Raw genomic sequence first — 23,631 nt, forward strand, 5'->3', positions numbered from 1 at the left:
GGATATCTCTTAGATGTTTTGACTTCCCTTATCCTACTCAATCTATTCAACTTGCTGAGGACTTTTGGGGCCCACAATCTTTAGAATACATTCTACATCTTGTTTCTTTTGTCATCACCAGATTATTTTTATAGAATGGCCTGCCCTTACACAGGGTCCACTGTCATGGTGGTGGATTTTTAAACATTCCCTCTCTTGTCGAGGGCCTGAGTGGAATAGCCAACACTATTATTTCATTTTTCATGCCCAAAATCTACCTTTCCCCCCTTGAGATTACCTGTAATCCACATGACAAAAGAAATCCATCCAACCTCTAGTTCCTATTATTAAAGTTCATGGCTATCACTCCAGTGGAACAGGAAACCATGGCCTTATCAAATTATATGGATGCTAGAAGACAAGGCCTTCATCCAGGGACAAAAGGAAAGCTCACAGTGGGTCATCAGTGGTGGAGAGAACCTTCCCAAAGTGGTACCATCACCCATCTAAGGTCAGAGACATCTGACAGACTAAGATGGGGCCCTAAAGGGGGACACCCCTGAGGACCCCAATCAAGGCCCAGAGTTTTTCCAGGGGGATGCCCCAGGTAAAATTTGAGTCACCAAATAAGCTAGGTTCTCTTCTTTCTTCCAGACCTCTATGGGCAACTCTCCATCCATTCCACCTGATTCCCCACTTGGCTGCATTCTCAACCACTGGAATCAATTTGACCCTGACAATCTAAGGAGAAAACATCTGATTTTTTTTAACCATAATATTGTATGGCCCCAAAATTAGCTAGACAGCCAGGAATAATGGGGAGTCAATGGAAGTCTTAATTACAACACCATCCTGCAATTAGACCTATTTTGCAAAAGGCAGTGTAAATGGTCAGAAATCCCATATGTGCAGGCCTTCATGGCCCTATATCAAAACCCAACCATCTGCAAAACTCCCAGAACCTGCCCCCAAAAGGGCAGGTTCTAAGGCAGAACCGGATATTGTGGATGACCTCCTTTTTGCAAGGGCCACCTGTCTCTCAGGGGCAATGGCAACCACCCCCATATAACCCCTTGCCAAGTGTTTCTGAGGCTCAAACCCAAGAGCTAAAACCAAGGGCCCTGCTAAGTCCCCTCACATTCAGAGGGGAACACTCTATTCAACTACCTCTATAGCCCTGCTATCCCTTAGGGAAGCAGCAGGAGCCGAGGGGCTGGTCTGAGTGTAGGTCCCCTTCTCCATAAATAACATACAACAATGTAAAGAAAAAGCTAGGAAGCTATTCAGAGAACCCCAGAAAATTTGCAGATAGGTTCCAAGCTTTGACCTTAGCCTTTCATCTCTCATAGAGAGACGTTCAATTCATTCCAGCAACTTGTTGCACCCTGTTGGAAAAGGAATGAATCTTTGAGGCCACTTGCCGAGAAGCAGACAATTTATTTGCCCAAAACCCTCAGGGTAATTGCCCAGGCCCAGACACAGTCTCCGCTACTGATCCTAACTGGGACTATAACACCCCCATGGGAATGAACAACTGGGCCAAATTTCTTAAGGCTCTCCTTGGAGGAATGAAAAAGGGAATAACTAAGGCAGTAAATTATGATAAAGTAAGGGAGGTTGCACAGGGCAAGGAGGAAAATCTAGCCGTGTTTTATGGCAGGCTGGAGGAAGCCTTTAGAAAATATACCAATCTGGACCCTTTCTCTCCTGAAGGCAGTGTTGAGCCCTCTTTTGTTCCTAGTATTACTACCTTCAGTATGAACTCTCTTGTTAGTTATTACTCCGTTTAGAAGTTTGTACATTTTACTGACTACTTTATAGAAACAAATAATCTATATTGCATCATTTTCAAGCCCACAGAAATGTATAAGCCCTATAATCTTGACACTTTTCAATTATGTTTAACGTTACAAGCATGTAAAACACTGCTGATATATGTAAGAATATGTATAAATACCACTAGATAGCTTATTTTGAAGAGATATTCTCTAAATTTTTGTTCACAGTAGATTGACTGCAGTTTCTTAGGTGTGTTTCTCAATATACTCTCTCAATGTTTTAAAGCATAAAGAAATTTGAATACTGTTTAACCTCATGTACTCCTTTGTTTACAGGTTGCTTTATATTTTTTTTTTCTTGAAATGGAATCTCATAATGTTGCCCAGGCTGGAATGCAATGGCACAATCTCAGCTCACTGCAACCTCCACCTCCCGGGTTCAAGCTATTCTCCTGCCTCAGCCTCCAGAGTAACTGGGATTACAGATGCACACCACCACACCTGGCTAATTTTTTGTATTTTTAGTAGAGACGGGGTTTCACTATGTTGGCCACACTGGCCTCGAACTCCTGACCTCATGATCCGCCCACCTTGGCCTCCTAAAGTGCTGGGATTACAGGTGTGAGCCACCACACCCAGCCAGGTTGTTTAATATTTCTGAGGATTAAAGACATCATGGCTCCCTTTAAGATTCAGTAATATTAATAAAATGTGAGATATATAGGGTTAGAATCCAACACATTGAGAGGAAAACTGTTAAATTATATAGCTGTAGAGCAGGAAATGAAACCCAGGTTGTAAGCTCTGAGGGGGCAGGAAACCTGTTGGTGAAGTACACCATGAGCTACCACACAAGTGCATCAGTGACTGAGCAGCGAGCTGCGTAGCCTAGCTCTATGTGAACGTGAATTTTTAAACTGCGTTGTGCCTCAGTTTATCCATCTTTACAACAGTTTTGTTTTTCTTCTCAGTTGACTGGACTATTTCCCTGGTCTATCTTCTTGCCACTCTTGATGCCCATGAAAGGACCTAAGGGAGCCTGGGACTCCTTGGGAAAAACAGAAGGTGCCACAGACCCCATTTTAGGAGAAACCCCTGTTTTCCTCATGGAACCCCAAGAACTGTAGGCAGACAGGTCCCTCTCAAAATCTAAGGCTCTGCTCAGTTTTGCATCACATTACCTGACCTTTTTGACTTTTGGAGGCATCAGAAATTACTTTAGTAGGAAAGAGAGATATAAAGAAAGTTATAGCTATGAAGATGTATTTATGATAAGGAAGGTTATGAAGAAAAGAAATTTTATATGAGAAAGAATCTTGTATGGCAAATTCTTGTCCTAAAGTAGAATGCTTAATTACTTAGGAAACAGGGAAATACAGGACAAGTCAGAAAATCTAAGCACGTCATAGATGGTCTGTGGAAGTTGTGATAGGGTTCATAAAGTGGGAAAGAGGCTGGGCCCAGTGGCTCACGCCTGTAATCCCAGCACTTTGGGAGGCCAAGGTGGGTAGATCATCTGAGGTCAAAAGTTTGAGACCAGCCTGGCCAACATGGCTGTCGCTACTAAAAATACAAAAATTAGGCAGGCATAGTGGTACGCACCTGTAGTCCCAGCTACTCGGGAGGCTGAGGCACAAGAATCGCTTGAACCCAGGAGGCGGAGGTTGCAGTGGGCTGAGATCATGCCACTGTACTCCAGCCTGGGCAACAGAGCAAGACTCTGTCTCAAAAAAAAAAAAATTAAAGGGAAAGAAAAACGTAACAACAGCTAGATCTTCCCCTGTCTACAAGTGTTGTGTGTGTGATGTTATATAAAGGAGCTCTAATTAATTGGCTTAAGAGCTACACCCTAGAGATTAACCCTTCACATGATCATGTAAGCTATGCAGTTGCCCAGACTGCATCATTTGGTAAACCTGTATGGTTTCAAGGAAACCATTCCTAGTTCAAGGCACTTTAAAGGATACACAGTCTAAGTACTGCCAAGATAGGCCCAGTAGCTGTGTTCATATTTTCCCTTGGGAAAAACCATACTAATCCTGAGACATCTAGTTGTCTTTTGGTTCCCCAGTATGAAAATACCTCTAGGTGGTTGCTGGTGGACACTAAGTGCAACTACCTCCACTGGAAAAATGCTGCTGGGGCAACTCAGGATACTTCCCAAGGTCCTTTCCAGCCTTTAACCAGGGCCACCTTAGCAGGGACCTTAATCACTTGGGAAAATGAAAACAACAAACTAACCCATATGTTCACCATAGACAACAATTTTTGTCTTAAAAAACAAAGATCCTTTCTCCTGTGTGGAACTAGTTGTACTTATGTTTATCAGCCAACTGGATTGGAAGCTGTACACTTGTATATTTACCCCCTTAAAATCAACATAGCTCCCAATAACCAGTCTCTCATTATACCTCTAACTGCAACTACCAAGCACAAATGAGCCATCCAACTCATACCCCTTTTGGTAGGGCTAGGAATAACTGCAGGAATAGCAATAGGAGTTAGCAGGCTTCCAACTTCCCTATCCTATTACCAATGCTCATCCAAGGATCTTCCAGACAGCTTGGAAGACACTGCCCAAAGTATTGTCACCTTACAAAATCAAACAGACTCCTTGGCAGCAGTCACTGTACAAAATAGAAGGAGACTGGATCTCCTAACTGCTCAAAAAGATGGCTTATGTCTTTTCCTATAAGAATGTTGTTTTTATATCAACCAATCAGGATTAGTAGGGATGCCACTCGAAAATTAGCTGACAGGACTTCTAAAATATAACAACAGCTGTCCACATCATAGGGCTCCTGGTCAAGGGCACCAAGCTGGGCTTCATGGCTCCTTCCCTTGGCCAGCCCATTGTTAATAATTATACTTGCATTGACTTTTTGGACCATGTTTGTTCATCTTTTTACCAGATTATTTCTTCTCACCTAGAGACGATTAAGCTTCAAATGATCATGCAGCAGGGCTTCCAGTTCCAGATGATGATGCCTGCCCTGGCCATCAAGAAGTCACCCTATCTCCACTAGACAGAGCAGTGCTAGAGTTCCATGGTCCCCAATAGGTAGGGACTGTGCCCCAATCAGCATGAAGTAGTTACAGAAGAAAGACTATTGGTCCCTCTGCCTCCCATAAAGATTTATGAAGATCACGTCTCTCAGGGGGAAATGAGGCAGAAGAACAGTCTATTTGAATAGTTTAGAATATAAATTCCAAGAGAAAAAGACAAGCAGATGTAACAGAGGAGAAGAAAGAAACACAGGGTCTGGACACAGGGAGCCTTCACTTCAGTCTCCGACTGGTCACAGGCCAGGCTGGTCTCAAACTTTTGACCTCAGATGATCTACCCACCTTGGCCTCCCAAAGTGCTGGGATTACAGGCGTGAGCCACTGGGCCCAGCCTCTTTCCCACTTTATGAACCCTATCACAACCCTTCTCTTCTCTGTCAGATTGCTTTCTTCTCCCATTTCACTCTCTCATGCATCTCAACCCCTTATTCCTATCTCACCTCACTCCCGCCTTCTCTTCCCTCCCCTTTCCTTCCCTTTCTTTCTTCTCTCCCTTGTTCTCTCCTTTCCCCTCCCTCCATCTTCTTCTCCCTCTGTCTGTCTTCCTGTGTTTCTTTCCTCTCCTTTGTTACATCTGCTTGTCTTTCTTGGAATTTATATTCTGAATATAAACTATTCAAATACATGGAAAAAACTCATGTTAGAATGAACTAAAAGGACACCACTGCTTCACATTTTAGAACTACTCTATAATAAATATCATGAAGAATTATTGAAATACTTACCCTGAAGCATTATATAAGTCTGCAAGCTGATATAGAATATCAATTTCTAGTGGTGTGACTTGTCCATAGCGTATGGCACTCTGGGCAAATTCCTCTGGAACAGAGAAAAAAAAAGTTAAAATCTTGAATGATTCTTAATATATAACAAAGTTCTACCTTCACCAACTATAATATAACCTGAAAGCTATAGGCATTTTAGTATCATTTTTAAAATCTAAAATTGAATTTAAATATTTAAGTTCAACTATACAAGAATATGCATTTCTGAAGGCTGGTAAAAGATAAAATGTTAAGATGATAAAACAGCAAAACAGATGAATTAACTTCAAGAATAAAACAATCTCTTTAGAATCTCCTCTTATCTTGCTTATTCACTTTGTTCTCCAGAGTTATAATACAAAAAAAGTGGGTGTTCTCCAGTCATTCAAAACATCCTAATACCACTCACCAAAAGGAGTAGGCTTGCTCATCTTTCTGTGGCAACTCCTTCCTAGTACAAACAAGCTGCTGCCACACTGCCACTGACCTGTTTGACAGATTGGGTCAAGGTTCTTTTCAAAACTGTCAAAGCCACTTTTCCATTCCTGACCTCAGTATCACATTAAATCCACCTGGATTTTTGGAGCCCAAGTAAAGCATACATACACATGGTAACATACTTTCTAGATCTGGCTTTAGAGTGGTAAGCTTAGATCAACATCATGCCTCAGTGAAGAAAAGTGAAAATGCTGAGATTCTTATTTATGTATATTTTAAAATCTTACCCTTTGTGACTTCAACATCTTTCCTTGTGCCAGCTAGAGTGCTATATATCTTACGAACAAGCTCCATGTTATTCAGTAACGAGTTAAATGCATTGAAGTAGGAGAAGCTAACCTGGTGTGAGATACTTCCTCCAGCTGCCTAGAAAATGACAACACAAAAAGTTTAAAAAACAAACAAAAACAAAAACACGTTTATGGACACTGTACTTTTCTCAAAGAGGATCCAAAGGAGTCTTCACTGTTAAAATGATGTTAACAACCAGTACATAAATACAAGGAAAGTATCACACTGAAACAGTGCACTGCATGCCCTCAGGGAAGTCTATGTAATTTAGGTTTTAAGGAAGAAAGTAACATCTGGAAGTTGGACTTCATGGTTCATCTACCTATAAGGTCAAAAACAACAAATATAATTATCACAGATCAAAACAATAGTTATTTAAACAGGATCTTCAAGACCCTCAACTGTGAAACTCTTGCTAGTCCTGGATAAACAAAATCACTGTACAATCTATGGAACACTTTTTAACCTTGTTTTTTTCCTTCACACACATACACAAAAACCAACTGATGACTTTAAATTTTAAGACAATTTTATTACATCAACTTTTCCTAATTTTTAAGGCCACTGTTATAATTAAAATACTTAACAGTCTGTGCTAAACTCTAAATTCGGATCATGAAGGGTACAATTATCAAAAACTCCAAAAAATGTAGAAAATCTGGAGAGAATTTATTCACTATTGAGTTATGTCTTCAATGGAATAGTGCAAAAGAGGCTCCCTCATGCCTGAGATGGCGGGCAACGTGGCCTTCATTACCTCTGCAGGATGAAGACGTAATTTGTTCTCTGCTCACCACTTGGACATAAACTCAAAAGAGAATATTTTGCATAGTTTGCAAAAGCCTCATTTCCAAGCCAGAAGTCAGAGGAACCCATATGATTGAAAACATTCTCCTTTAAAAATGCAAAGAAATGCTTATGTAAATATCAATGTAACAATTTTAATCATAAAGGTCTATTACAAATAGTGTAGGTAATGATGAGCAAATATATCCCACCCCACCACCCCTCACACACATGCCTTAACCTAAATACAGTTTATATTTGTGTTAGCCTGAATTTGGATACCAGCAACCCAAAAAGCTGGACTCAAATTTTCATATACTCCTCTGAGGATTAGAATTGACTTTTGGTAAACTATAAAAAATTGAGCCTCAAAAAATTGAGGCTATTATAGTAGGTCTATCTAACCTAGTTGGAAAAGATTAAATGAGTCCCTTCCCACTAAGGTACTGAGCCCCTCCCTCTAGGGTTCTCTTCCCTTCTCTCTCCTTCCCTCCCTTTCTCTCTTTCTCTCTCCCTTTATCCCTTTCTTTCCTTCCTTCTTTCATTTTTTTGGTTGGGGTATGAGGTGAGGGCAGGGGAGTGGGGGATGGTGTCAAGGAGGTGAAACGTGTAGGAGAAAGTGACATGGTCCATGTTCAGATTCACTGAAGAAAAAGAACAGAAGTTGATCTTTCTACCCCAGTCTAAATCAGGGATAATGATCTTCAGCTGAAACAACAAAGGCACTCATTGGCTTCCCTCCATTCAAAACAAGCAGTAATCAAAAACTTATACATAAGTACAACGCATAGACAAGAAAACGGGTAAGTGAGGAAAGTTTCACCACTCTATGTGAGGAAGTGGATGACATGAGTTTGCTATTGGTCCAGATGATTACTTTATAGAGATTAGCAGTTTGACAGAACAAAAAACTATGTCTGGTGCATACAGACTGAATGTACAGGTGAAGGGGCAGAGAGAGGAGTGAGCCACAGAGGCTGATGGCCACATATTTCCTCCATACCTTCTGCCATGGGCATGGTTATTAAAACACTGCAGAAGCCAGTGATGATCCCTCCGGCAGACAGCACCCTGAAGGCAACAAAGGAAGGAGCCATCTTTATAGCAAGACCTTGGGAGCCCGGTGGTGTGGAAAGAGGCCAAGATGAAGGCAGTAGTGTCTGGGAGAGTTACTGCCCACTGGAAAAAGTAATTGCTCACCCTTGTCTATAAACTCTTGTTTCCCTTGAACTGGACTCTGTAAATGGAAATAAACAATTTGGAAATAGATGACAGCAAGATGGTGGCTCTGAATAAAACTATGATCCGGGAAAAGATAACTCACCATCACCTCTACCTCCATTACACACACACATACATACATTCACGTACACACACACACATGCACACACACACACACACACACACAAACCTGTTTACTTTCTACCAACCAAGCATGAAATTTGAATAGTTGAGAGTCATATGAGTCCCTGGAGGCAATCCAGGACTCAATGGATCAAAAGGTTTGAGGAAATAGAAAGTTAAAGAACTTGCTTTTTACTTACTGAAACTAAGTTCTCCTCCACAAAAGGAGTAAGCATGTGAGATCTAATGGTAACCATGATGTCACTGAAATCCAGACCAGAAATCATGCCACTTTTGCTTTTGTCTTTGAGTGCAAAGGCTTGTCTTGCATGTTCCAATTGCAGCTCCTGTGAGGAAATTAGAAATAGGGCATTAAGCTGGTTAAACACATTCCAAGTACATGGTTTGGAAAGGAAGGAAGGACAGATATCCTTCCCACACATGTACTTACTACAAAACAAACAATGCACAGATCTGAATTTGCAACAAAACTTTTAATTTCTTTCAAAAAGCATGAGCTTTCTTAAAAATGTACTACATATTACTCCTCAGGAAAAAGAATGAATGAGAGCACATCAATAAAGGAAAGGTAGGAAAAAATAACCCTTAGATTTTACTTGACAAGTTTTCATTACTGAAAACAGAGAATAATGTTTTTGGTGCTTCATTTCAGCCTTTAAAATATACAGTAATTTATCTCTCCTGCTTGAAGGCTTACCTGTCATCAAAGAGTACTTCATGAATTAAGAGTTTAGATTCATTTTCAGTTTTTCAATTTTAAATGTTGCAATCAAAGTCTCTCTCTCTGTCATTCTATAAATGAATTAGAGACCATTTTTTCAAACAAATTTTTCAAATAAACTCAGTGAGAAACTCTACCAACTGGTAAGTGCAATATTCAGTCATTCTAAAATGAAAGTCAGGAATAACAAACTGCAAAAGTAGTGTTCAGCTATCACTGGCTCTGGGCACCGTTACTCATAAACTGTAAGACAGTCCAGAATATCTCTGAACTTTTGAACTATTGGGCAACCAAACTTTGTAATAAGTGATATCCACAAAAACAACAAAATGTTCCAGCAATCCCCTGTGTACTATACAAAAGTCAAAATCAGAGCATTTCTGTTGTGGGGATCCATGACTAAATGCAAAAAACCTGTTAGCAAACATAACAATGGTGCTGCTATTGGATGCCACCGTCACACTCTTTGCAACTCTGTAAATAATAGTCATATCTAAGTATATACATATTATTTAAAGATTACATAATTTTCATTCACATTTACTTATCAAAGACTACAAATTAATGTTGCTTTAACTTTTCATGACATTAAAAGTAGTTTTTATAGAAGTCTCATCATTTTTATTTAATTATATTTTCCTATGGACTTGTGATAACTCACTCCATTTTCCCATGACCTCAGCTCCAACCACTTCACCCTTCAAATGAAGTGGGAATTTTCAATCCATCTACATCATTACATGGATTTGAAATTGGTCCCCATGGCAAAGATATTCCTAAATAGCATCAAAAGTAGACACAGGTTCACTCCCTGTCTTATATCTTTTTCTTTCCTTCTACCTCTTTTCTATCTCTTTCTTATGTCTTTGTCTTCCCTATATGTCTTAATCACCCAGAAATATCAAATGGTAGCCATGGGTACAATTTAGCCTTATTAATAACACTCAGTACTAAAGAAGATGTGGACCTTTACCTTCAAGATGAAGCAGAATGCTCACTGAAGGAGTAGTGTTAGTAGAATAGATTGTCTGTTTTCTATAAGGTCAACAGTTAAAGGACTCTTATTTGTCTTTTAAAGATACGTATTTGAAGGATCACAGATGAAAAAATCATAGAGTATGTGCATCTGGCTTCCAAATGATCCTGCAGGAGGCAGGGTGGAGGGTATAGATAAAAAAGATTGGCCAAGAAGTGGTAATTATTGAAGCTGGTTATAGGTCCAGGAGGTTCATTACACTATTCTCTCTACTTTTGAGTATATTTGAAGTCTTCCAAAATAAAAAAGATTTTAAAAAATAAAATTAATGACTTAAAAATGAGAAGTTAAACACAGAAAAAAAGAAGTTACATATATGCGGCTCTCAGTTTATACAGTATAATTAAAACATCAGGGTACAATAGATATTGTAAAATAGACTCTGTAAATGCAAGGAAAACAGTGAGAGAAAGAGAGAAAGTAATCTTTGGAAGAATCTTAAACACTAATCAGGCAGACATTTCCTTTTTTAAAAAAGTCAGCTCTCAAATGCATATATTTTCAACTTTTCAAGTTTGAGAATTTTATAAGGTGAGTTAGATAAGCACTAACAGGGAAAAGAGTTAGAACAAACACTGGCACCTCCAAATACCCACACCTAAAGCCCATAGTTTCAAATCTGTGCTCATCCTAATGAAGAAAAACAATACTGTGGGCTTATAAAAGGTAAAATAAATAAATCTTGGGTTAAAAAGGTAGGTAGGTAGGTAGGTGGATAGGAGAACTAAAGGAAAGATAAAGAAAGGCAGTTATGCTGAAGGGAAAGATCCTATGCCCTTGAAAATGCATTTCATCTAATTATGAGATGAAAATTAGCAGAGCTTCAGAAACAGTGTGACTGGATGAGAGTGAACTTGTACATTTAACTCCACCGTCTTCCAAAATGCCACTCTCCACTAAAATAACAATAAAAGAACAAAACAAAACAAAACAGAAACGCAAGGACAAAGACAACAGAAAAGGAGAAGATGGCAACTATATTTTTAAGATCAGAAAGCAGAAAAGCAAATGACAACTGACTTAATGGACTCAAAAAAACTAAGCAGAAAAAGCCAAAAAGGAAGCCAATGTACATGACAGGACCCCCAAAAGATTCAATTATTAGCTGCATTGGTACCTCTGGAAGTGATGGTGAAGGTGGAGCTGAAAACAAGGGGCTTAGCTGGATATCTGTTTAAGAAGCAGTTAGTTACCCCTGCCTTACTCCAAATAAGGCCTCCACCCTTTCCCAACCTTGGCAGAAGACTAGAGGTCTACTGTCTGAGGAGTTTAACAGAGGATCTCTGAACCAGCATAGACCACACACAGTTGAGAGGGAGAATACTACAGTGAAAAAAGGTAGTAAACTGAAAGTCCTTCTGCAAAATTGAACACTGAGACCTCCAACTACTTATTACTCAGCAACCAAAACATCAAAAGCCAGATCTAATATTCCAGATTGGAGACTAGACAATTTTTCCCTGATTCCCTAATCCGAAATAAAAGACCTAGCCTAGGCAACATGGCAAAACCCCATCTCTACAAAAAATACAAAAAATTAGGCAGGCATGGTGGCACACGCCTGTAGTACCAGCTATTCAGGAGGCCGAGGTGAAAGGATCCCTGGAACCTGGGGAAGTCAAGGCTACAGTGAGCCATGATCCTGTCACTGCACTCCAGCCTGGGGGACAAGGTAAGACCCTGACTCAAAAAAAAAAGAGAAAAAGAAAAACAGAGACCCAAACAAAGAGTAAAAATAAATAAATAAATGTGGAGAAAGCAGACACTATGCAAGAAGAAAACTTTAAAAAAACAACAAAGAAACCTGTCTTCAATATCTTTGAAGAAGTGAAAGAAAAGAGTGCATCCATGAAACAAGAACAGTATGCTATTTTTTAAAAGGAATATTCAGAAAACCAAAAAGAGTTCCTGAAAATTAGAAATACAGCAGAAATAGAAAATAGAAGGCTCAGAAGGAAAATAGGAGAGAAAAGAAGACTAAAAGGTCATAAATGTAACATTTAATAGTCCTAGAAACTAAGAAAATAGAATAAGAAAAGTAATAAAATTTTCAAGAATTGAAGGACGTAAGTTTCCAGATTAGAAAAGCCCAATGAATGAAGAGCCCAGACCAATGAATAAAAATAAACTCACACCAAGGAATACCATCGTGAAATTTCATAAACACCAAAGAAAAGAAAAAATATTAAAACACTCCCGAGTCAGAGTGGAAAAAGTTTCAAGATTAAATTAAGAATGAGAATGGCACTGTGGCAACACTGGAAACTAGAAAACAAAAGAGCAATGCTTTCAAAATTATAAGGAAAATAAACTCCTACTAGAATTCAATAACCAGCCAAACTATCTTAGCATAATGGTGGAACAAGAGGGATTTGTTTGTTTGTTTGTTAGTTTGTTTTGAGATGGAGTCTCGCTCTGTCGCCCAGGCTGGAGTGCAGTGGCCTGTCCTTGGCTTACTGCAACTTCTGCCTCCCAGGCTCAAGAGATTCTCCTGCCTCAGCCTCCCAAGTAGCTGGGATTACAGGTGCCTGCCACCACACCTGGCTAATTTTTGCACTTTTAGTAGAGACAGGGTTTCACCATGTTGGCCAGGCTGATCTTGAACTCCTGACCTCAAGTGATCAGCCCGCCTTGGCCCCCCAAAGTGCTGGGATTACAGGCGTGAGCCAAAACACCCAGACTGTTTGTTTTTTGAGACAGGGCTCACTCGGTCACCCACGCTGGAGTGCAGTGGTGGGATCATGGTTTACTGCAGCTTCTACCTCCCTGGGCTCAAGTGATTCTCCCACCTCACCTCCTGAGTAGCTGGGACTATAGTCGTGTGCCACCACACCTGGCTAGTTTTTGTATTTTTTGTAAAGATGGCATTTTGCCATGTTGCCCAGGCTGGTCTCGAACTCCTGGACTCAAGTGATCTCCCCACCTTGGCCTCCCAAAGTGCTAGGATTACAGGTGTGAGCCACTGCCCTCAGCCGGAACAAGAGGTTTTTACATATGAAAAGTCTCAAAAAAATTTTATTCCACTTTCCTCAAGAAGCCATTGCAGGAAGTATTCTACCAAAAATAGGTAAACCGCAATAAAAGAAGAGATAAAATGCAGCAAACAGGAGGTTCAACGTAACAGAACAGCAAATGGATTCTCCAAGGTAAAAGTGAAGGGTGATCACAGAATGACTCCTATGCAGTGAGCTTACACAGTCTGGCTTCTGGCCCTGAAGCAGGTGAGGAAACAACAGGAAAATGGTGCAGCTGCTGTGGAAAACAGTCAGGTGGTTTCTCAAAAAGTTAAACAGAATTACCATATGACCCAGAAATTACACTCCTATGTATATAGCCAAAAGAACTGAAAACAGGTATTCAAACAAATATTTGTATACATATGTTCATAGCAGCACTATTCACAATAACCATAAGGTGGGAACAACTCAAAGGTCCATCAGCTGATGAATGGATAGACAAAATATAACATATTTATACTATATTATACAATGGAATAGTATTCAGCCACAAAAAAGGAATAAAGCACTGATACATGCTATGACATGGATAATTCTTAAAAACATTATGCTAAGTGGAAAAAAAAAAAAACAGATGCAAAAGTTCATATTGTTTGGCCAGGCGTGGTGGCTCACACCTATAATGCCAGCACTTTGGGATGCTGAGGTGGGTGGATCACCTGAGGTCAGGAGTTCGAGACTAGCCTGGCCAACATGGTGAAACCCTGTCTCTACTAAAAATACAAAAAATTAGCCAGGCATAGTGGCGCACACCTGTAATCCCAGCTACTCAGGAGGCTGAGGCAGGAGAATCGCTTGAATCCAGGAGGTGGAGGTTGCAGTGAGCTGAGATCACGCCATTGCACACCAGCCTGGATAACAAGAGCGAAATTCTGTCTCAAAAAAAAGAAAAGTTCATATTGTACAATTCCATTTATATTAAATATCCATAATAGGTAAATCCATAGAGACAGAAAGTAGGCTGGAAGTTGCCAGAGCTCAGGGGAAAGCAGAAATAGAAAGTGACTGCTTAATGGAACACGGTTTCTTTTTGGGATGATAAAAATGTTTTGGAACTAGATATAAGACACTGTGAACGTACTAAATGCCACTCAATTGTGCACTTTTATTTATTTTTAATTTTTTAGATGGAGTCTCGCTCTGTCACCCAGGCTGGAGTGCAGCGATGCAATCTCAGCTCACTGCAACCTCCACCTCCTGGGTTCAAGTGATTCTCCTGCCTCAGCCTCTCCAGTAGCTGGGATTATGGCACTCACCACCTCGCCTGGCTAATTTTTGTATTTTTAGTGGAGACAAGGTTTCGCCATGTTGGCCAGGCTGGTCTTAAAGTCCTGATCTCAAGTGATCTGCCCACCTCAGCCTCCCAAAGTGCTGGGATTACAGGCGTGAGCTACCACACCTGGCCTAAATTGTGCACTTTTAAATGATTAATTTTATGTAAATTTTACCTCAAATTTTTTTAAAAAAGAAAGCTCCTGGAGAGCTCCAAGAAGATGAAATTAATAGAATACCTAATGTGTTTTAAACGCATTAAAAAGAGATCTTAATAATTGGGCCAAGGTTTGAGAATGACTTAGTATTAGTACACAGAAAACTAAACAAATGAAAACTAGAAACTCTAAGAACAATAACTTTAGGCCAGGTGCAGTGGTTCACTCCTGTAATCCCAGCACTTTGGGTGGTCAAGGCAGGCAGATCACTTGAGGCCAGGAGTTCAGACCAGCCTGGCCAACATGGCAAAACCCCACCTCTACTAAGAATACAAAAATTAGCCAGGTGTGGTGGCACACTCCTGTAATCCCAGCTAGTTGAGTGGCTGAGACATGAGAATTGCTTGAACCAAGAGGTGGAGGTTACAGTGAGCCAGGATCACACCACTGCACTCCAGCCTGAGCAACAGAGCCAGACTCTGTCTCAAAAAAATATATAATAACTTCAGCCACCAATAGTATTTACAAAATTATAATAACTCATAGGATTACTGATCTAAGCAGAATCATGACATAATTATATTGGGGGAAAGGGGACAGAAGTCCAAGTCTGTGATAAAGAGGGAGAGGAGAGAGGTGAAAGAACTAGCTTTTTTTTTTTTTTTTTTGAGATGGAGTCTCACTCTGTCGCCAAGGCTGGAGTGCAGTGGTGTGATCCCAGCTCACTGCAAGCTCCGCCTCCCAGGTTCACACCATTCTCCTGCCTCAGCCTCCCAAGTAGCTAGGACTACAGGCGCCCGCCACCACACCCGGCTAATTTTAGTAGAGATGGGGTTTCACCATGTTAGCCAGGATGGTCTGGATCTCCTGACCTCGTGATCTGCCCGCCTCGGCCTCCCAAAGTGCTGGGATTACAGGCGTGAGCCACTGCGCCCAGTCGTGAAAGAACTAGCTTCTAATCTTCTATAGTTAGGATACAATTAAAAAGTATTTAAAAGTAGAAAAAAAGTAGAAGTGCTTTACTATTTAAATAAATGGAAGTAAACACTGAAAGAAACAGCTATTAAGAGTTTAAAGAAGTTGTCTCTGGCGAGGGGGAAATTTAAAAAATAGGAGTGAAATACCATGGAGAACTTCTATTTTTGTAATAAACTTAATAAATACAAAGCGAAGGACACAGAAGAATAGTATATATTGATACCTGTTATGAAAACTAAGCTCACCTGGAGAAACTGCGTGAATTCTGTGTAGTTAAGATGCTTCTTCCGGTTATGCCCAAAATGCAGTCGGATAAATTCACAATCCCAGTTAAAAGGGATATGATGATGAATAATAGTCTGTCCAAAAATTTCTTTGACATTTTCTTAAAAGGGAAAACAAAAATAAATCAATTATATCTGGAATAAGTAGTTTAAACCACTGCAATGTTCCTACAGAAAAAAATTAAGAGAAGTTTTAAAAGTCAATATCATCTGCTTCTATTAAAATAACTGCAATTTTTTTGTGTGCCCAGAAACCATGCGCAGGAACACAACTGATACAAAAAATATAATTTTACACTTAAGAATATGTACCATTGCATATAAGGCCATGAGATTCTTAATTTCTCTTTATTTAATTTTAATTAGAAAGTGATTTCTATCTTACATCATAAATGGCTGCTATTTTACATCCCGTATAAAATCAATAGTGTTTTCCCAGTTTCTCAAGGAGTCGAATTAAACCCTTTATCAGAAGCATGAATACCTAAATTACAGTATAATGCAATATTTGTCATACTAAGTATGGTTTGATTGAGGCTTGATTATTACATTCACACTAGCCTGAATATGTCTATTGAAGATAGGTATAAGAAAAACTATCAAAAGCATATCATTAGCTCAGCAGCAAGCACCTTATTAAAAGCTTCTGATATTGTTAAAAATATGGTCTTGACACAAAGCTTCAAAATCCCCATAAAATCCATGATTATTAGTCTGAACTATTAAAATATTTTAAGATAAGTTAAATTAGTGTTTCACTTTTAAATAAAGAGCTAAATACAGTACACTAATTTTTAGATAGGAACTAGTCACACTGTGTAACATACAACCAAAACCCTCTGGCAGCTTGTCTTCATGCACTAACAACGTTATTTACATTCTTACAGAGTTCTATACTTACTATAAAAGTCAATTCACAAATGACTGGTACTTTAACAAGCATAGACTGGATAAACTAATTTAGAAGCTCATGCCAAAAAAAAAAAATCATGAACAAAGTTAAGAAAGCAGGAAGCCTGTTTAACTGATGTCTTAAGAACAAAATTATTTTCAAATTTCAGCCAATTTTATTAGTGAAAGAGTTTTGCCATCGATAGCTATCAGTTATACTAGAGAATTAGTAAATACACATTTAAAGTTTTATAATCTCCAACTATGCTGTTTTCTCTAATTTCTGCAAATTCTTTAAATAAGATACTGATCTCATATTGTAAATGGTTTAATGGATTCCCTTTAGTTTTATATACATACACTTTTTCTTAATAAAAGCATTACTACTGGGATAGGGGAATGTAAGAATTCTGAACTGGACGTTCTACCAGTCTAGAGTCAATATAATAGCTCTGAATAGATTGCAGCAATCAGCAAAGTTGGAAGAAGGCATTGGATGTCACTGGGGAGATGGGATTCTCATCTTTTCTTTGAAATGGAATGCAGGATTCATTTCTTCCCTAAGTAGGGACAAATACTTCAAAGTTTTCAATAGGTCAAGCGTTTTCACCTTACATAAATACAAATTTAAAAAGCAAAGAATTAACCCAATAGCAATTTGTGGGATCCTGGTTTCTAACCAACACAAAAGATGATCCTTAAATCTATGTGAAACTTCGAAGTTGTAAAATATGTTAAAGTTTACAAAACAATTAAAATAATAAAGATAGCAGAAAATATTTAGGGCTACAAATATTGTAGCAGATTATTAAAGATTTTTAGGATCTAACTTAATTAATTAGCTGTTTCTAGTCCCAAATTAATTAATTTCTTACTTTTAAGGTCTAACAAAAAGAAGTGTTTCATCTTCAAGTTAAAAAAAATTAAAAATGGAAAGCAAATTAGAACAAATTACTATATTTAATTAAGTAACATTACAATTATTAAAGGGAATAGTTATTTCATGGTAACCTTTTAAAGGTTATTTCAAGAGTTAAAATATAATTATTTGATAATAAATGTATATATTACTACCTAGATAATTCTTATATAATGGTAGAATGAAATTGAATCCCTTTTATATAATAAGAAAATATCAGAATCTCAAATATGAAACTATGTAAAATAAAGTCCAAAATGCAAAAGCGTTCAAGCTAAGAAAATTCAATTATCTATAAAAATTTTTTTGGCTGGGCACAGTGGCTCACACCTGTAATCCTAGCACTTTGGGAGGCCAAGGCAGGCAGATCACGAGGTCAGGAGTCAGAGACCAACCTGGTCCCCATAGTGAAACTCCGTCTCTACTAAAAATACAAAAATAAGCCAGGCATGGTGGCACATGCCTGTAATCCCATCTACTCAGGAGGCTGAGGCAGGAGAATTGCTTGAACTCGGGAGGCGGAGGTTGCAGTGAGCCAAGATTGCGCCACTGCACTCCAGCCTGGGTGACAGAGCAAGGCTCTGTCTCGAAAAAAAAGTTTCTATTATCACAAAAAGGATATTTATGAACTAAATTTATAATGTATAATTTACATCTGGAAAATATCTCTGTAATAAAAACTTTAGATATCCTATTTCATAAACTTCTTAGCCATCTCTAAATAAGATCTTAGAATGTCTCTGAAACAATTAAAATGATGGTCTAAATTAGTCATAGTGATCTCCCCAAATACAGAAGTGTCATTTTCCATGAGTATTTGGACATTTTCTACTTCTCCCAAAGTGGTCACTTGACAGCTTTATATATGGTTTTGTTATGATCATTATTATATGCTGTGGTTTATTTACTCTGACACTTTTAGGGTTTTTTTAAGACACATCATGGACTACTATAATTACTAGAACTAATAAGATTACAAACCTACTTTGGCACTTCTGGAGATGTATTCTACTTCTCTTCTGTTATCATTGTTTCTACTACCAAGTGCCTGAGACTGATTCAGATACACAGAAATAATTAGTAGAACTATTGTTTTCAAGTCCAATTCATAAATTGCCACTTTACTTTTATCAGAATGTGATAAATAAAATTATATAAAAGCTCCAGAACTGGAGAGCTTATGCTTGTATGAGGTAATAACTCAAACAGCTGGTGTTTTTATGTTACCCAGCTTTATCAGGTCCTGCGTGACATGAAAGGGAACACCAATAGTCTCAAATATACCAAATACATCTAACTGAAACTGTATAGCAAGTTCCACCCACCCCCAGAGAGAATCCCATCTTTCCAGTGGCAAACAAGGATCTTTTTTTTGCCATGTTTAAGAATGCTATTTCTGTAGCATAGTTCTGGCCTGGAAGAAAGGGAAATGACAGTCACATCTTATTGGCAGCAAAATCACGATATAGTATTTTATACTAGGTTGGCATAGCTAAGAGAACCAGGAATCCATTAGTTTTCTGACATATAGAAAACAAAAGACAACTTTTTCACTTCCTGCAGAGCATGGGCTTATGAAAGGGATGGTTTATACTTCCATTGAAAAGGGAACTGGGGCTAAATACAAAAGTAGCCTGTCATTATGTTCTCTTTGCTCAAAGGAGAGGAGCACAATGATTTGTCAGGAGAGCAGGTAACGGTGACAACTGTGATTAAGTAAAAATGTTCACAGATGTGTAACATTAGTCAGTTTAGCTGTATCAGTCACTTATGATGATTGGACTAGATGAAATACACATTAAATCATATATATTATGTAAATATGTCTTAACAGAGGTTTTAATTTCCCCAGAAACCCATACTGTGTCTCCCCATCTCATCCACCCTCATCCCTCCCCTGGTTCTTATGGGCACTTCCTACTGGTCTTGTTCACCTTTCTGCAGTACAAAATTACCTCTGACCGGGGCTGGCACTCTTCTCCAAGACTGCCACCATGCCTGTTCCATGAATGAGCCTGGAAGGAGCTGCTGTACCAACGGTGTGGCCAGAGAACTCCTCCTGTAGGTATACAAGCCATCAGCCCTGTGACACAGCCCACCTACCATCAGCCCAACGACATCCTTATTCCAAGGATTCCAGCCCAGCAGGAGCCACTACAACCAACTTATAGGCTTGAGACCAAACATTCTTATTGTCAGGGGGAAAAGTTCCTCAGTAGCTGAATTTCACCTGCACAGTTCTTAAAGTGAAGTCAGAGAGGTTTTTAGGACTCCCACCATGAATGGTGAATATCCTTGTACATAGCTGAACAAAAACAATGGTGAGACTTGTAGAAGTGAAGAGTTTTTCAGTGAAGGAAAAATTGGGAGGAAAGAGGAGGAACAACTGGGAAGCCAAAAAAGAAAACAAAGGAAAACAAACAACAACAACAAAAAGACCAACAACAGGAACTTGTAGAGGAAGTCCCAACCAACATGGCATGTAGACTCAGTCCCAGACTTCTGGGTTCTCCTCTCAGATGGTCATTAGTTTCCTGAATGACCTCCTGTTTCTCTGAGAGAAAGTATTTCTATTAGCCCTTTACCTACCTCTAGAAGGGACTACTGCACAGTCAATAGAGTAGTCCTGCTGTCAAATATATGTAAAGGTCCATTTCTCAGGAAAGATGAGTTCATATTTAAAGACTATCGGTTGGGCGTGGTGGCTCACGCCTATAATCCCAGCACTTTGGGAGGCCAAGGCAGGTGGATCACCTGAGGTTAGAAGTTTGAGACCAGCCTGGCCAACATGGTAAAACCCTGTCTCTACTAAAAATAGAAAAAATTAGTTGGGCGTGGTGGCACATGCCTGTAGTCCAGCTACTAGGGAAGCTGAGGCAGAAGGATCACTAGAACCCAGGAGGTGGAGGTTGCAGTGAGCCGAGATCACACCACTGCACTCCACCCTGGGCGACACAGCAAGACCGTGTCTCAAAATTAATAAATAAATACATACATACATACATACATACTATTATTATTGAAGCTAGACACTTCAACAGTCTATCATCAAACAGCATAAAAACTAATAACACTCCACCTTTTCTTTCACCTTGAACTCTTAAGCTACTCTAATAGCCTTGAGTACTAAAAAAAAAAGCAAAAAACAAAAAACTTCTCTGCAATATCCGAAAGCAACACCAAGAAAAAAAAAAATCAAAAAATCTTCCTGATTTAATTTGAATACTCAGGTGAAGCTCTACTTCTTACCAAATTAAGCTATATATTTATTATCATAGAATTTTCATTTCTTTTTATGAAAGTCTTTGTCTGTCACGCAGGCTGAAGTCAGTGGTGTGATCTTTTTTTTTTTTTTTTTTTTGAGACGGAGTTTTGCTCTGTTGCCCAGGCTGGAGTGGTGCAGTGGCACAATCTCAGCTCACTGACCTCAGCCTCCCGGGTTCACGCCATTCGTGAGCCTCCCAAGTAGCTGGGACTACAGGCATCCGCCACCATGCCCAGCTAATTTTTTTGTATTTTTAGTAGAGACAGGGTTTCACCGTATTAGCCAGGATGGTCTCGATCTCCTGACCTCGTGATCCACCCGCCTCGGCCTCCCAAAGTGCTGAGATTACAGGCGTGAGCCACCGTGCCCGGCCCAGTGGCGTGATCTTGGCTCACTGCAACCTCTGCCTCCCAGGTTCAAGAGATTATCCCACCTCAGCCTCCCAAGTAGCTGGGATTACAGGTGCATACCACCATAACTGGCTAATTTTTTTGTATTTTTAGTAAAGACAGGGTTTCACCATGTTGCCCAGGCTGGTCTTGAACTCTTGGCCTCAAGTGATCCTCCTGCCTCGGCCTCCCAAAGTACTGGGATTATAGGCAAGAGCCACCATGCCTGGCCGCCATAGAATTCCCTTTTTTTGGGGGTGGGGGTATGGAGTCTTACTGTGTCACCCAGGCTGGAATGCAGTGGCATGATCTTGGCTCACTATAGCCTCTGCCTCCCAGATTCAAGCAATTCTCCTGCCTCAGCCTCCCAAGTAGCTGAGATTACAGGCACATGCCACCACGCCCGGCTAATTTTTGTATTTTTGCTAGAGACAGGGTTTCACCATGTTGGCCAGGCTGGTCTTTGTTTTTTTTTTTTTTTTTTTTTTTTTTGAGATGGAGTCTTGCTCTGTCGCCCAGGCTGCAGTGCAGTGGCCTGATCTTGGCTCACTGCAACCTCCACCTCCTGGGTTCAAGCAATTCTTCTGCCTCAGCCTCCCAAGTAGCTGGGATTACAGGCATGCACCACCATGCCCGGCTAATTTGTTTGTATTTTTAGTAGAGATGGGGTTTCACCATATTGGCCAGGCTGGTCCATATTGGCCAGGCTGGTCTCAAACTCCTGATCTTGTGATCCACCCGCCTCGGCCTCCCAAAGTGCTGGGATTACAGGCATGAGCCACTGCACCCGGCCCAGCCAGGCTGGTCTTGAACTCCTGACCTCAGGTGATCCTCCCGCCTCGGCCTCCCAAAGTGCTGGGATTACAGGCGTGAGCCACTGCACCTGGCCACCATAGAACTTCATATTATTGCATGTCTATAGCTTTGTTTCCAGTGAGAAAGGGTACATTTTTCATAACTACACTTCCATCTCCTGGCTCTTTAAAATAATAACAGTGGTTGTGCCTAACCCATCCCAATTTATTCTCTCCTTCAGGGAAAAACAGCCTATTTCAGAGGCACAAATGGAACACATTTTTATTTGCTATATGTATTAATGGTCAAACATAGTACTACATTTAAAGGAATCTCTGCTTTTTGAGGTTTCTTCAGTCAGAGGGTGAGGATGTGTCCTTGGAAAAGTTTACTTTGAAGAGTGTCCATTCCTAGGCAAACACCAAATTTGGAACACAATGTTGATGTTAATAGAGAACTCAGAACATATAACATGTTTCATACTCATTTTGTTAGTTAACAGACAACAGTTTGTTGTGGTTTTTTCTTGTTTGTTTTTTTTTTTGGAGACGGAGTTGCACTCTTTCACCCAGGCTGGAGTGCAGTGGCGCAATCTCAGCTCACTGCAACCTCCACCTTCTGGTTTCAAACTATTCTCCTGCCTCAGCCTCCCAAGTAACTGGGATTACAGGTGCCCACCACGCCCGGCTAATTTTTGTATTTTTAGTAGAGACAGGGTTTCACCCTGTTGGCCAGGCTGGTCTCAAACTCCTGACCTTGTGATCCTCCTGCCTTGGCCTCCCAAAGTGCTGGGATTACAGGCGTGAGCCACTGCGCCTGGCCCCTTAAAAAAAAAAAAAAAAAAGGATTAAATCTTTAGTAAGGCAATAGGCCTTTTTTTCATTTGAGACAGGGTTTCACTCCGGTTACCCAGGCTAGAGTGTAATGGCACAATCTCAACTCATTGCAACCTCCACCTCCCAGGCTCAAGTAATCCTCCTACCTCAGCCTCCCGAGTAGCTGGGACTACAGGCATGTGCCACCACACCCGGCTAATTTTTGTGTTTTTAGTAGAGATGGGGTTTCACCATGTCACCCGTGCTGGTCTTGAACTCCTGGGCTCAAGCAGTCTGCCCACCTCAGCCTCCCAAACTGCTGGGATTACAGACATGAGTCACTGCTCCCGGCCTTTTTTTCAATTTGGATTTTAAATGCATGGCAGCTACTGACAACACAATGTAGTATAACTGCTTATCTAGGTTACCTGAATCTAATAGTACTGAACAGGATCTCCAGTACACTTGTGGACAATGGTGAGACCAAGGCAAACTTACACTGTAGCTAGCACACACCAGTCATGCAATAGCCTCTACAAGGCTCATGCCACCTGACAGTAACAG

The 23,631-nt window shown here is 40.0% G+C and overlaps 1 protein-coding gene across 3 annotated transcripts in view; it reads right to left on the bottom strand.

The window, feature by feature from the left end:
* SLC25A12 (solute carrier family 25 member 12) overlaps positions 1-23,631 on the bottom strand; it is a 110,840-nt gene that overhangs the window by 45,010 nt on the left and 42,199 nt on the right. For 2 of the 3 annotated variants that reach the window (NR_047549.2, NM_003705.5), the window contains 4 exons: positions 15,955-16,094; positions 8,707-8,853; positions 6,313-6,451; positions 5,549-5,642 (listed from right to left, as the gene is read on the bottom strand). Coding sequence is in view for 2 of the 3 variants with exons in the window: in NM_003705.5 (NP_003696.2) it covers positions 5,549-5,642; positions 6,313-6,451; positions 8,707-8,853; positions 15,955-16,094 (520 nt within the window). In the remaining variant the exon portion in view is untranslated. Of the gene's footprint in view, positions 1-5,548; positions 5,643-6,312; positions 6,452-8,706; positions 8,854-15,954; positions 16,095-19,758; positions 19,863-23,631 lie in introns of all 3 variants that reach the window. The other variant, XM_047446142.1, reaches the window with a different exon arrangement.

This window comes from Homo sapiens, chromosome 2, assembly GCF_000001405.40.
Source record: "Homo sapiens chromosome 2, GRCh38.p14 Primary Assembly".
Lineage (NCBI taxonomy): Eukaryota > Metazoa > Chordata > Mammalia > Primates > Hominidae > Homo > Homo sapiens.